This window comes from Homo sapiens, chromosome 7, assembly GCF_000001405.40.
Source record: "Homo sapiens chromosome 7, GRCh38.p14 Primary Assembly".
Taxonomy (NCBI): domain Eukaryota; kingdom Metazoa; phylum Chordata; class Mammalia; order Primates; family Hominidae; genus Homo; species Homo sapiens.
In genome coordinates this window covers 96,548,993-96,563,714 of record NC_000007.14, presented here as the reverse complement: position 1 = coordinate 96,563,714, position 14,722 = coordinate 96,548,993, and the positions used below count along the sequence as shown (strand labels likewise).

General features: G+C 39.7%; 1 protein-coding gene across 4 annotated transcripts in view, besides 1 other annotated feature; it reads left to right on the top strand.

Moving 5' to 3' along the window:
* SEM1 (SEM1 26S proteasome subunit) overlaps positions 1–14,722 on the top strand; it is a 228,221-nt gene that overhangs the window by 146,132 nt on the left and 67,367 nt on the right. Inside the window, exon 4 of one of the 4 annotated variants that reach the window (NR_163950.1) lies at positions 5,459–5,598. The exons of the other annotated variants lie outside the window; for them this stretch is intronic. The gene's annotated coding sequence lies outside the window, so the exon portion shown is untranslated. The remainder of the gene's footprint in view (positions 1–5,458; positions 5,599–14,722) is intronic. 4 annotated transcript variants of the gene reach the window in all.
* Positions 5,175–5,763: an enhancer, noted in NCBI's record as "H3K27ac-H3K4me1 hESC enhancer chr7:96187264-96187852 (GRCh37/hg19 assembly coordinates)". NCBI's record gives its function as "activates a minimal SCP1, AML or CMV promoter by ChIP-STARR-seq in primed H9 embryonic stem cells {active_cell/tissue: H9 hESC(primed)}" and the evidence as "EXISTENCE:reporter gene assay evidence [ECO:0000049][PMID:30033119]".

Below are 14,722 nucleotides of genomic sequence, written 5' to 3'. Positions count from 1 at the left end.
TTACACGTGCTGTTCTAACACAGATGCCTAACAAACCTTAATGTTAATGAGTCCTGTCTCCTAACTTCACCCAATATTCCATGGTCCATCATTAAAATCGCTGACTAGCATAAATCCTGAACCCTCTTGTCCCTCTCTAGTTTTAACAAACATCGACCCTGATAAATTCCAAATTTTTTTGTATTCCCATGTACTTCTGTATAGTTGAATTTGGCTGGAGAAAAATATAGTCATATTGACTGGTCTCATTTTATATTTATGATTGTTAGCTTTAAGAGTGTTGTTTATGCTGCCTGGCAGTCATAATACTTGCCATGACCATTTTCCTAGGTTACTATTTTATATTTTCTCCTTTTTTTCCCCCAAACCTCCAGCACATCCCTCCCCATCCTCACTCTCAATAATGACCTTGCTTCCTATTTCACTGAAAAAATAGAAGCAATCAGAATATACCTTCCCAACCCTCCTAATGCCACTCTACCCACCTCCTTGTATCTAGATTAACCTGTTTTTCTTCCTGTCATGAATGAATAGTTTGTTCTAAGGCCATCCTTTTGCATGTCACCTCTTGTCTACTCAGGAACATTTCTCCAACAAATTTTCTCTCTTCCCAGCATCATCATTTCCCCCACCCATGACTGCATCATTTGAATCTTGACCCTCTTAATCAATTCTCTGTTTAGCAATCAGCATGCTGTCTATTAAATCAAAACATTTTACTCACATCTTATCATCTTCCAATGACTTTCCTTCATACTTGGGATAGCATTCAAACTCCTTAACCTAGCTTGCAAAGTCCTCTAGTTTGGATGTACGAAGGAAAGCTATTGGAGGATGATTTGCACTAAGCTTAGAAAAATCTACATCTATGGTAAATAAAACAACAGAGCCACGCATGGTGGCACTCACCTGGTCTGGCTCCTACCTATCTGCTGAAACTCATCTTGCACCACACTCCCTCTGTTCACTATATTCTGGTAACAGTGGCCTCCTGAAACTTACCAAACTTCTCCCCACCCTATGGCTTTATTCCAGTTTTCCTATCCACTTGTAAGGTTCTTTCTGTGATATTCATATGAGTGTCTCCCTTGAATATGGAAATTCATATATTGGCTCAAGGCCAAGTTCAGAGAGAAGTTTCCATTGACCATCCAATCCAAAGGAGGAAATCTCTATCATGTCTCATTATTTTTTAATTTTTAGCGTAGCGCTTATCATACAGTGGGTGATATCGTTTTTACTTATTATTTTTCAATTTTTATCTCTCCCTGCTAAACTTTTACTCCATTATAGCATAAGTTTTCCCCTGCTATATATCCATAGCACTGTATCCTTCATACATAGAATAGTATTTTATATTAGACAGTCACAAAATATTAATGAATTAACAAATGATGAATGAATGACTGAATGGGAAGCCTTCTAATCTACTTCTAACAAATTCCAACAAAGGTTAGTCAACCTTCTCATTAAGACACATGTTCCATTGCCTTGTTTTAACAAATTAATATGATTTTTTAATGTACACTGTATGTATTTTAAGGTCATTATGGCAAGAGAAAGATGGCTTTCCATTTAACTCTCTCTAAACTTTAACTCGACAAAATGAATTACATGTGGTCATTGGAATTATAATTAGTGGAATAATTAGATCCACATTTGATCATTACCAGACCTAGAATGTGTGTTCACTAAACAGTGAATAACCAGGCCTTCCTTATTCTGTGCTACAGTTGTAAAAAGAAACCAAAGGTAAGTGTTCTATCCCTTTTAGTGCATAATAATAATAATACCACAAATACTCTAGATATATAATAATAGTTAGAAGGGTGGATTCCTGACTTTTCCACCTAGGTGTTAAGGACAAAAAAGTAACTTGAGATATTGGGGCCACCACAGAGCTTTCTCCTTTTACCCAGGGAAAGTAAGTCTCCACATATTTGTCACCTCTCCATCTATAACGCATCTTTAATGGGTCACATTTTATATTCCCTTCAGCTGAGTATAGAAATGAGTAGTTATTTAAATCATTCCAAAGCTACTGTTAAGTGAAAATATTTAAATATGGAACCGATGTTCAAGTACTGAGGCAATGAAGATATTATTTAGGTCAGCTGAAAAGCAGATACAAGGGTAGGGGTGATCAATTCATAATGCTCAGCACCTGCAGCCAAAGTGACTACAGTGAGAAGCGGCAGCAGGTTATAGGCGTCGAAGGTTTGAGAGCCTCTGCCATTTTGTGAGGGGACCAGGGCATCAGTCTAGAAAAATGACCATAAGCCTCTGTTTCTTTGCTGATGGGACAGGATGTCCATTAGAGCAGGAGGAATTTCTGGAGCAGCAGTTCCCTGAATTGTTCCTGACAAGTGGTCCCAGAGATCCAGCTGGTGGAGAAGTAGGTGGCATTTCAACCCTCACCCCCTTTTCCATTGCTTCAACTGCAGTAGTTCTGCAGATTTCATTTGAAACAATAAATATTTTGTCATGTGGAACATTGCAAAATTATTCTAATTATCTTGAAATAATATAAAAATATAGCTATGAAAGTTCTAATTTTCTTAAAAAAGAGTAATGGTAAGAGGGGTTTGCAGTAAGTTTAATAAAATTGACACCCACAGTAAATAAACCAGCAGAGCCAGGCACAGTGGCACACACGTGAAGTCTCAGCTACTGGGGAGACTGAGGTAGAAGGATGGCTTGAGCCCAGAAGTTTGAGGCTATCCTTGGCAATATAGCAAGACCCTGTCTCTAAAAAATTAAAATTAAATTAAACAGCACGTACTGGCTTAGGAACAGCAGCTAGATCAACTGAATAAGGAGTGCACAAATACTAAATATATATATGGGAATTTATTATATGATAGGGTGTTATTTAAAATCAAATGGAAAATGATAAATTATTCAACATATTTGATATAGGAGCCCTACCACACAACTGCCATAGGGGTTAACAATTTAAATATAAGAAGCAAAATCCTATAAGCACATGATTAAAATACAATTAAAAAAAAAACTTGAGACAGAAAATATTAGAAAGCTGATATGAACACCAAAACCAGAAACCATAAAAGAAACTCTTAATTTTAACTATATAAAAAGTGGTTATCATATGACAAAAATATTAAAAGTGAGATTGAAAGACAACATGTAAAAAACGTATTTGGAATATATAGGCCAACAAAGAGTTGATATTCTTATCCTATCAAGTACTGTTGGTACTATAAAACAAAAAGCCAAACAGAAAAGTATACTAAAAGACATTAATTGTACTTTACTAAAGAAATTTAGATGGCCAATAAATTTATGAAAAAAGCAAAACTCATTAGCATTTAAGGCATATTTATTTTTAAAAATTTGGTTGATTAAAATGTATCATTTTGTCAAACACGTATAATAAATGGTACTCTAATATACTCTGGGTGACTTTGCAACTTTAGTGCAAACTCTGAGAAGGAGCAATTAATCAATATGTATCAGAAGTTAAAGTGTGTATACCTTTTGACCCAGATATTCTATTTCCAGGAACTTATTCAAAGGAAATAAATAATCAGATATATTTGAAAAAAATAAAGATGCTCATTGCGGAACTATTTATAATAGGAATCTGAAGCAACCTACGTGCCACATGTGGATTATTGTCCAGTGTATTATTCAGAATAAGCTAGATTATGCTGCTGTAACAAACAAATTCTGAAGTCATGGAGGTTTTACATCTAAAAGTTTTTTGGGTTTTTCTATTGAGTGTCTGGTGACCTCCTCAAGGCAGCACCTTCTTCAAGGTGTTTCTATCCCATAGCTCCAGCATTTCTGTATAATGCCACTGCAGCAGGACTTGCAAAGGCTTGTCACTGCCTCCATTTATAAGTGACATGCTTGTCACTGCCTCCACTTATAAGTGACATTTTCATTTAGAGCTAATTGGCCAGAGCTAGTTATTTGGCCCTGCCTAACTTAAGGGAACTAGGTTGTGTATCCTTCTCTGTGCCCAGGAAGAAGATAACAAGATATGGGTGAGCTCTAGTACTCTCTACAACATGTAGCCTTTAAAAGTGCTATATAGATCTTTATTTACTAACACAAAAGATTGTCCACAATACGCCATTTAGAGAGAAAAACAAAACATGTTTTAATAATTCATTTGGGCCAGGTGCAGTGACTGACACCTATAATTCCAGCACTTTGGGTGGGTGGGTCGCTTGATCTCTGGATTTCAAGACCAGCCTGGGCAACATGGTGAAACCCCATCTCTACCAAAAATACAAAAAATTAGCCAGGTGTGGTGGTGTATGCCTGTATTCCCAGCTACCTGGGAGGCTGAGGTGGGAGAATCAACCGAGCCTGGGAGATTGAGGTTGGAATAGCCGAGATTGTGCCACTGCACTCCAGCCTGGGCCACAGAGTGAGGCCTTGTCTCAAAAAATAATTCATTTGTTTAGGGGGTGGGAGTAAAGGCACAGACAGGAAAAATATGCAAATATATATCTCTAGATAGAAATGGGAAAAATATGAAAAAATTTATATACTAAAAAGTTACAGTAATTGTTTTTGAGTGATGGGATTATGGATACCTAAGTCTGTTTAACTCAAATTTAGATGTTAACGTGTGTATCCCTAAAGCATAGTAACTGGTACTGTGGCTCACATTCCTAAAGCATAGTAGCTAGCTCTGTGGATCACATTAGAATTTACACTGCCCATTAACTATTCTGGCTCATTTAATCCTCTTAATAACTCTGACATAAAGATTTTATTATATCCATTTAACATATGAAAATCTAACTCAGAATTTAAGTGACTTACCCAATATTAGTCCATAAGCAGGGCTGCAAGGGTCTACCAACTCCAAATACCATGCTCCTTTTTTATTCTTTAATAAATGCAATAATTTATTGGATCCTGATGAAATGTTTTTCATTCCAACAGACTAAGGCTTCCTGGATTCTTGCCATGCAGATCATGGTCTGAGTCTGAAGTTACTCAGATGTCTTTTTTAAACAAAATAAACAAATGAGCAGTTTACGAAGACCTTCTTGCCTCTTTCATGTTTCTACCCTCTTTTCACTTCATATTTATTCTCTGCCTTGTGAACTCCCTCTCTCCTTGCTTCTTTTCTGTCTTCGTAGACAGCTCTTTAAGAAACAACTAGGCCATGCTCTTCATTCTCTTCTTTAACTTTACTGCAGCTCCTCCCCTGTCTGCCTGTACCCATTCCATTTGTTCCACCTTCTGTGCACTGATCTAAGTTTACTACTTTGCTCAGCTGATTAAACTCATCCCAGGTTGACCTTTTGATGGTTTTGGACTCCCTCGGAATCTTTGCATATCGTAATCCGGCACCGTCACATGCATGCTTGTATTCTCACATGTGTAACACCCATTGGTTTACCCAACTAAACTTCTGGAAGGCAAAGACTGTATTCTCTGCCCTTTGCTTCTTTTCTGTTTCATAATGTGGCAGCCATGGACATGCATCAGCTGGTCTCCTTCAAGAGAAACTCCTGGGGGAGGAGCCAAGATGGCCGAATAGGAACAGCTCCAGTCTACAGCTCCCAGCGTGAGCGACGCAGAAGATGGGTGATTTCTGCATTTCCATCTGAGGTACCGGGTTCATCTCACTAGGGAGTGCCAGACAGTGGGCGCAGGTCAGTGGGTGTGCGCACCGTGTGCGAGCCGAAGCAGGGCGAGGCATTGCCTCACTTGGGAAGCGCAAGGGGTCAGGGAGTTCCCTGAGTCAAAGAAAGGGGTGATGGACAGCACCTGGAAAATCGGGTCACTCCCACCCGAATACTGCCCTTTTCCAACGGCCTTAAAAAACGGCTCACCACGAGATTATATCCCACACCTGGCTCGGAGGGTCCTACGCCCACGGAGCCTGGCTGATTGCTAGCACAGCAGTCTGAGATCAAACTGCAAGGCGGCAGCGAGGCTGGGGGAAGGGCGCCCGCCATTGCCTAGGCTTGATTAGGTAAACAAAGCAGCCGGGAAGCTCCAACTGGGTGGAGCCCACCACAGCTGAAGGAGGCCTGCCTGCCTCTGTAGGCTCCACCTCTGGGGGCAGGGCACAGACAAACAAAAAGACAGCAGTAACCTCTGCAGACTTAAATGTCCCTGTCTGACAGCTTTGAAGAGAGCAGTGGTTCTCCCAGCACGCAGCTGGAAATACGAGAACGGGCAGACTGCCTCCTCAAGTGGGTCCCTGACCCCTGACCCCCGAGCAGCCTAACTGGGAGGCACCCCCCAGCAGGGGCACACTGACACCTCACACGGCAGGGTATTCCAACAGACCTGCAGCTGAGGGTCCTGTCTGTTAGAAGGAAAACTAACAAACAGAAAGGACATCCACACCAAAAACCCATCTGTACATCACCATCATCAAAGACCAAAAGTAGATAAAACCACAACGATGGGGAAAAAACAGAGCAGAAAAACTGGAAACTCTAAAAAGCAGAGCGCTTCTCCTCCTCCAAAGGAACGCAGTTCCTCACCAGCAACGGAACAAAGCTGGATAGAGAATGACTTTGACGAGCTGAGAGAAGAAGGCTTCAGACGATCAAATTACTCTGAGCTACGGGAGGACGTTCAAACCAAAGGAAAAGAAGTTGAAAACTTTGAAAAAAATGTAGAAGAATGTATAACTAGAATAACCAATACAGAGAAGTGCTTAAAGGAGCTGATGGAGCTGAAAACCAAGGCTCGAGAACTACGTGAAGAATGCAGAAGCCTCGGGAGCCGATGTGATCAACTGGAAGAAAGGGTATCAGCAATGGAAGATGAAATGAATGAAATGAAGCGAGAAGGGAAGTTTAGAGAAAAAAGAATAAAAAGAAATGAGCAAAGCCTCCAAGAAATATGGGACTATGTGAAAAGACCAAATCTACGTCTGATTGGTGTACCTGAAAGTGATGGGGAGAATGGAACCAAGTTGGAAAACACTCTGCAGGATATTATCCAGGAGAACTTCCCCAATCTAGCAAGGCAGGCCAACATTCAGATTCAGGAAATACAGAGAACACCACAAAGATACTCCTCGAGAAGAGCGACTCCAAGACACATAATTGTCAGATGCACCAAAGTTGAAATGAAGGAAAAAATGTTAAGGGCAGCCAGAGAGAAAGGTCGGGTTACCCTCAAAGGGAAGCCCATCAGACTAACAGCGGATTTCTCGGCAGAAACCCTAGAAGACAGAAGAGAGTGGGGGCCAATATTCAACATTCTTAAAGAAAAGAATTTTCAACCCAGAATTTCATATCCAGCCAAACTAAGCTTCATAAGCGAAGGAGAAATAAAATACTTTATAGACAAGCAAATGCTAAGAAATTTTGTCACCACCAGGCCTGCCTTACAAGAGCTCCTGAAGGAAGCGCTAAACATGGAAAGGAACAACCGGTACCAGCCGCTGCAAAATCATGCCAAAATGTAAAGACCATTGAGACTAGGAAGAAACTGCATCAACTAACGAGCAAAATAACCAGCTAACATCATAATGACTGGATCAAATTCACACATAACAATATTAACTTTAAATGTAAATGGACTAAATGCTCCAATTAAAAGACACAGACTGGCAAACTGGATAAAGAGTCAAGACCCATCAGTGTGCTGTATTCAGGAAACCCATCTCACGTGCAGCGACACCCATAGGCTCAAAATAAAAGGATGGAGGAAGATCTACCAAGCAAATGGAAAACAAAAAAAGGCAGGGGTTGCAATCCTAGTCTCTGATAAAACAGACTTTAAACCAGCAAAGATCAAAAAAGACAAAGAAGGCCATTACATAATGGTAAAGGGATCAATTCAACAAGAAGAGCTAACTATCCTAAATATATATGCACCCAATACAGGAGCACCCAGATTCATAAAGCAAGTCCTGAGTGACCTACAAAGAGACTTAGACTCCCACACGTTAATAATGGGAGACTTTAACACCCCACTGTCAACATTAGACAGATCAACGAGACAGAAAGTCAACAAGGATACCCAGGAATTGAACTCAGCTCTGCACCAAGTGGACCTAATAGACATCTACAGAACTCTCCACCCCAAATCAACAGAATATACATTTTTTTCAGCACCGCACCACACCTATTCCAAAATTGACCACATACTTGGAAGTAAAGCTCTCCTCAGCAAATGTAAAAGAACAGAAATTATAACAAACTATCTCTCAGACCACAGTGCAATCAAACTATAACTCAGGATTAAGAATCTCACTCAAAACCGCTCAACTACATGGAAACTGAACAACCTGCTCCTGAATGACTACTGGGTACATAACGAAATGAAGGCAGAAATAAAGATGTTCTTTGAAACCAACGAGAACAAAGACACAACATACCAGAATCTCTGGGACACATTCAAACAGTGTGTAGAGGGAAATTTACAGCACTAAATGCCCACAAGAGAAAGCAGGAAAGATCCAAATTGACACCCTAACATCACAATTAAAGGAACTAGAAAAGCAAGGGCAAACACATTCAAAAGATAGCAGAAGGCAAGAAATAACTAAGAGCAGAACTGAAGGAAATAGAGACACAAAAACCCTTCAAAAAATTAATGAATCCAGGAGCTGGTTTTTTGAAAGGATCAACAAAATTGATAGATCGCTAGCAAGACTAATAAAGAAGAAAAGAGAGAAGAATCAAATAGACGCAATAAAAAATGATAAAGGGGATATCACCACCAATCCCACAGAAATACAAACTACCATAAGATAATACTACAAACACCTCTACGCAAATAAACCAGAAAATCTAGAAGAAAAGGATAAATTTCTGGACACATGCACTCTCCCAAGACTAAACCAGGAAAAAGTTGAATCTCTGAATAGACCAATAAACAGGAGCTGAAATTGTGGCAATAATCAATAGCTTACCAACCAAAAAGAGTCTAGGACCAGATAGATTCACAGCCGAATTCTACCAGAGGTACAAGGAGGAACTGGTACCATTCCTTCTGAAACTATTCCAATCAATAGAAAAAGAGGGAATCCTCCCTAACTCATTTTATGAGGCCAGCATCATTCTGATACCAAAGCCGGGCAGAGACACAACAAAAAAAGAGAATGTTAGACCAATATCCTTGATTAACATTGATGCAGAAATCCTCAATAAAATACTGGCAAAATGAATCCAGCAGCACATCAAAAAGCTTATCCACCATGATCAAGTGGGCTTCATCCCTGGGATGCAAGGCTGGTTCAATATACGCAAATCAATAAATGTAATCCAGCATATAAACAGAGCCAAAGACAAAAACCACATGATTATCTCAATAGATGCAGAAAAAGCCTTTGACAAAATACAACAACCCTTCATGCTAAAAACTCTCAATAAATTAGGTATTGATGGGATGTATTTCAAAATAATAAGCGCTATCTATGACAAACCCACAGCCAATATCATACTGAATGGGCAAAAACTGGAAGCATTCCCTTTGAAAACTGGCACAAGACAGGGATGCCCTCTCTCACCACTCCTATTCAACATAGTGTTGGAAGTTCTGGCCAGGGCAATTAGGCAGGAGAAGGAAATAAAGGGTATTCAATGAGGAAAAGAGGAAGTCAAATTGTCCCTGTTTGCAGACGACATGATTGTATATCTAGAAAACCCCATTGTCTCAGCCCAAAATCTCCTTAAGCTGATAAGCAAATTCAGCAAAGTCTCAGGATACAAAATCAATGTACAAAAATCACAAGCATTCTTATACACCAACAACAGACAAACAGAGAACCAAATCATGAGTGAACTCCCATTCACAATTGCTTCAAAGAGAATAAAATACCTAGGAATCCAACTTACAAGGGATGTGAAGGACCTCTTCAAGGAGAACTACAAACCACTGCTTAATGAAATAAAAGAGGATACAAACAAGTGGAAGAACATTCCATGCTCATGGGTAGGAAGAATCAATATCGTGAAAATGGCCATACTGCCCAAGGTAATTTACAGATTCAATGTCATCCCCATCAAGCTACCAATGACTTTCTTCACAGAATTGGAAAAAACTACTTTAAAGTTCATATGGAACCAAAAAAGAGCCTGCATCACCAAGTCAATCCTAAGCCAAAAGAACAAAGCTGGAGGCATCACACTACCCGACTTCAAACTATACTACAAGGCTACAGTCACCAAAACAGCATGGTACTGGTACCAAAACAGAGATATAGATCAATGGAACAGAACAGAGCCCTCAGAAATAATGCTGCATATCTACAACTATCTGATCTTTGACAAACCTGAGAAAAACAAGCAATGGGGAAAGGATTCCCTATTTAATAAATGGTGCTGGGAAAACTGGCTAGCCATATGTAGAAAGCTGAAACTGGATCCCTTCCTTACACCTTATACAAAAATCAATTCAAGATGGATTAAAGACTTAAATGTTAGACCTAAAACCATAAAAACCCTAGAAGAAAACCTACGCATTACCATTCAGGACATAGGCATGGGCAAGGACTTCATGTCTAAAACACCAAAAGCAATGGCAACAAAAGACAAAATTGACAAATGGGATCTAATTAAACTAAAGAGCTTCTGCACAGCAAAAGAAACTACCATCAGAGTGAACAGGCAACCTACAAAATAGGAGAAAATTTTCGCAACCTACTCATCTGACAAGGGCTAATATCCAGAATCTACAATGAACTCAAACAAATTTACAAGAAAAAAACAAACAACCCCATCAAAAAGTGGGTGAAGGACATGAACAGACACTTCTCAAAAGAAGACATTTATGCAGCCAAAAGACACATGAAAAAATGCTCATCATCACTGGCCATCAGAGAAATGCAAATCAAAACCACAATGAGATACCATCTCACACCAGTTAGAATGGCAATCATTAAAAAGTCAGGAAACAACAGGTGCTGGAGAGGATGTGGAGAAATAGGAACACTTTTATACTGTTGGTGGGACTGTAAACTAGTTCAACCATTGTGGAAGTCAGTGTGGCGATTCCTCAGGGATCTAGAACTGGAAATAAATACCATTTGACCCAGCCATCCCATTACTGGGTATATACCCAAAGGACTATAAATCATGCTGCTATAAAGACACATGCACACGTATGTTTATTGCGGCATTATTCACAATAGCAAAGACTTGGAACCAACCCAAATGTCCAACAATGATAGACTGGATTAAGAAAATGTGGCACATATACACCATGGAATACTATGCAGCCATAAAATATGATGAGTTCATATCCTTTGTAGGGACATGGATGAAATTGGAAATCATCATTCTCAGTAAACTATCGCAAGAACAAAAAACCAAACACCGCATATTCTCACTCATAGGTGGGAATTGAACAATGAGATCACATGGACACAGGAAGGGGAACATCACACTCTGGGGACTGTTGTGGGGTGGTGGGAGGGGGAGGGATAGCACTGGGAGATATACCTAATGCTAGATGACGAGTTAGTGGGTGCAGCGCACCAGCATGGCACATGTATACATATGTAACTAACCTGCACAATGTGCACATGTACCCTAAAACTTAAAGTATAATAAAAAAAAGAGAGAAACTCCTGTAGGAAGTGTAGTTAAATGGTAGCCCCAGCTCCCACCCCTCTGAATGTACTACCACCTTCATGGTGAGGCCACGCTTCCCCTGGGCTACTCCCCACTAATGACGAACATGACAGAGTGCTGGCACTGGACCATTCCTGTGGGATGTGAGACTCCTGCGAGGGGCAACCTCAACTCTGTGTACTAGCTTCTTGTGACTGCCATAACAAATTACTGCATATTAGGTGGCGTAAAACAACAGAAATATAGTCTATCACACAGCTTTGGGGCCAGAAGTCTGAAATAAATGTGTTGGCAGGGCTGGTTCCTTCCAGAGGCTCTAGGGGAGAATCCATGTCATGCTTCTTTCCTAGTTTCTGGTGGCTGCCAGCAGTCCTTGTTGATCCTTAGCTTATAACTGCAACATCTACCTCTGTCTTCACATGACCTCTGTGTGTATGTAATTCTTTTTTTTCTTTTCTTTTTTTTTTTTTTTTTTGAGACAGAGTCTCACTCCTCTTGCTCAGGCTAGAGTGTAGTGGTGCTATCTTGGCTCACTGCAACCTCCGCCTCCCAGTTTCAAGCAATTCTCTTGCCTCGGCCTCCTGAATGGCTGGGACTCCAGGTGCACACCACCATGCCTGGCTAATTTTTGTATTTTTTAGTAGAGATAGGGTTTCATTCACCATGTTGGCCAGGCTGGTCTTGAACTCCTGACCTCAAGTGATCCACCAGCCTTGGCCTCCCAAAGTGCTGGGATTACAAGTATGAGCCACTGCACCCGGCCTCTGTGTCTTCTTATAAAGACACTTATCATTTGATTTAGGGCCCACCTGGATAATACAGAATTATCTTGTCTTGAGAACCTTAATTATATCTGCAAAGCCCTTTTCCAAATAAGGTCACATTCAAGGTCTCGGGTGAACATATCTTTAGGGGAATGGGTGGAAGGGTGCACCATTCAACCTATTATGCTCAATGAATTTTGGTAAACGTGGCCAAAACTTCCTCAAAACTGTACTGTTGTCAAAGTCTTTCCTATCTAACCCTCTTCCCTCTCTCCTTTCATGTGTGTCAGACCTGCATTGTCTTAAGTGCTCTCCTGTATATTCCTACTTCCTTTCCTTTTATTCTTCATAAGCATTTCCTCAAATAAATCTCTTGCATGTCTATCTCTTCTTGGTGAGTGTTTCTCAGAGGACCTGAACTGATGCACATAGTATCTGTTGAATGCTTAATACCTGTTTCTGAATGAATATTAGTGCAAGGGTTTCTTCTTTCCATTACACTTCAAAACAGGAATGAACTGAATTTTGTAGACAATATCCTAATTTTCCTGCATCCTGATTCTTCCTTTTTGATCGCATAGGCCAATCATTCTTAATATTTTTCTACTTTCCCGTGTGTCACACTCCTCAGACTGCTGTACAAAAGCAGAGAAGGCAGGGCATAGCTGATCCTGCCTTACTAACTTAAACCCTTTCCTTTTTCCTCTCACTCAAGGAAGCACAGCATAATAAAAAGACTTGGATAATCTGGAGCTACTCTAATTTATTTTTAAAAGCAAATAATTTGTAAATTTTGGACTATTTTCTTATCGCTAGTTATAACTTCTTTCAACACACTTCATAATTGATTCTGACATACCAGTACATTGCAATATCACAGTTAAGAATATTGCTGTAAATACAAGAAAACACAGCCTACAAGAGTGTCCAACAGATGAGTGCAAATAATAAAATCATGCTTTATGAATGGAATCATAAACGATTTTGCAATCAAAATAATAAATGCAGTTCAGAAAATATTAATGCACTTCAGTTGGTAATTGCATTTGCCATTATCAAGTGCTCAGTAATATAGTACTTAGCTATTCTAAAGTCACTCAGGTATGTTAAACAATTAAACATGAGTCTGGGGAATAGCTTTGTTTAGCCTTTTTCAATTATAACCATGTATCATATTCAGTGTTTTCTGTATTAACTCTATGAGACAATAGTATTTTAAAGAATTGTATTACAACAGTTGTAATAGAACAGTTGTACTAAACGACTTTCCCTCACTATTTCTCAAACTTTCTATACTATCTTGCTGAACTTATTTTAATGAATAAATTAAAATATTTAAACCCTAGACATTTATATTAATAAAAACCTAATTTTTAATTCAAGAAAGTCCAGCTTCCAACAATCCCATGTTCTTTAAATAGTGACCACTGACCACCATGACAGTAACTTCATGGCAAAAGTGTGAAACTCTATTTATAAATTAAACCATTAAGTAATACCATTTAGTTACATAGCCGAAATGCTATTGTGCATAGGTAAAAGCATTCTCATCAAACTAAAGCACTTTACAATGTAACAATCTGGACCTGGTTTTATAATGCCACAATCCCACCCCACCCTGTCCATCTTTTTATTTGTTTTTAGGGAAAAAAAGAACTAAATAAGAACATTTGGAAATGGCAGTCAAATTATATCTGGAAATACTTAAGGCAATAACCCATGTGGCTCTAATGTGTAAAAGCATGTCTGACAAGGTATGGCTCAGGTCCTAGAGCAGTGTACCTCCAAGACAATTCAAATATTAGCACCTTTAGAGTACAAAACTAAGATTTGTAAGATGGTGCTTTTAAGTGAGCCATCCTCTTGTGTGGAAAAAGTCTGTCCCTGCTCATATTAATCTAAAGACAAAATTAAAGAACGCTTTTATGAAATTAGTGGGATTTAAGCCACTGGATGAACATAAGAGATCTGCCTCAAGGTAAGTTTCTGTTATTGGACATTCTTGATTGGATCACGAAAGTGCCCTAAAAATCTAAATGTCTGTCAAAGGCCCCAAGTCCTCCGCCTTTTTGGCAGGGGCTCTCAGCAGACATGGTGCTATGGCAAACACTCAAGTAGGGAAACCACCTCAGTTTGCCGGGGACTGAGGGGCTTCTTGAGATGTGAGACTACCAGTCCTAAAATTCGGACAGTCCCAGGCAAACTAGAAAGATTTGGTCACTCTACCAACCCTCATGTTCCTGGACCCCTTTTACTGCTTTTCCAACAGCATATGTGGGATAGTATTCTCAAGGAAGATTTTGATTCAACTGGAGTGGATTACCTCTTGCCAGCAAGACTCATAACCCTGCCACTTGCCAAATATCAGGGGAAAAAATTTCAGAGCTGCCACTTCTTCCCTAGACAGCCCAGGTGTCCTCTGTG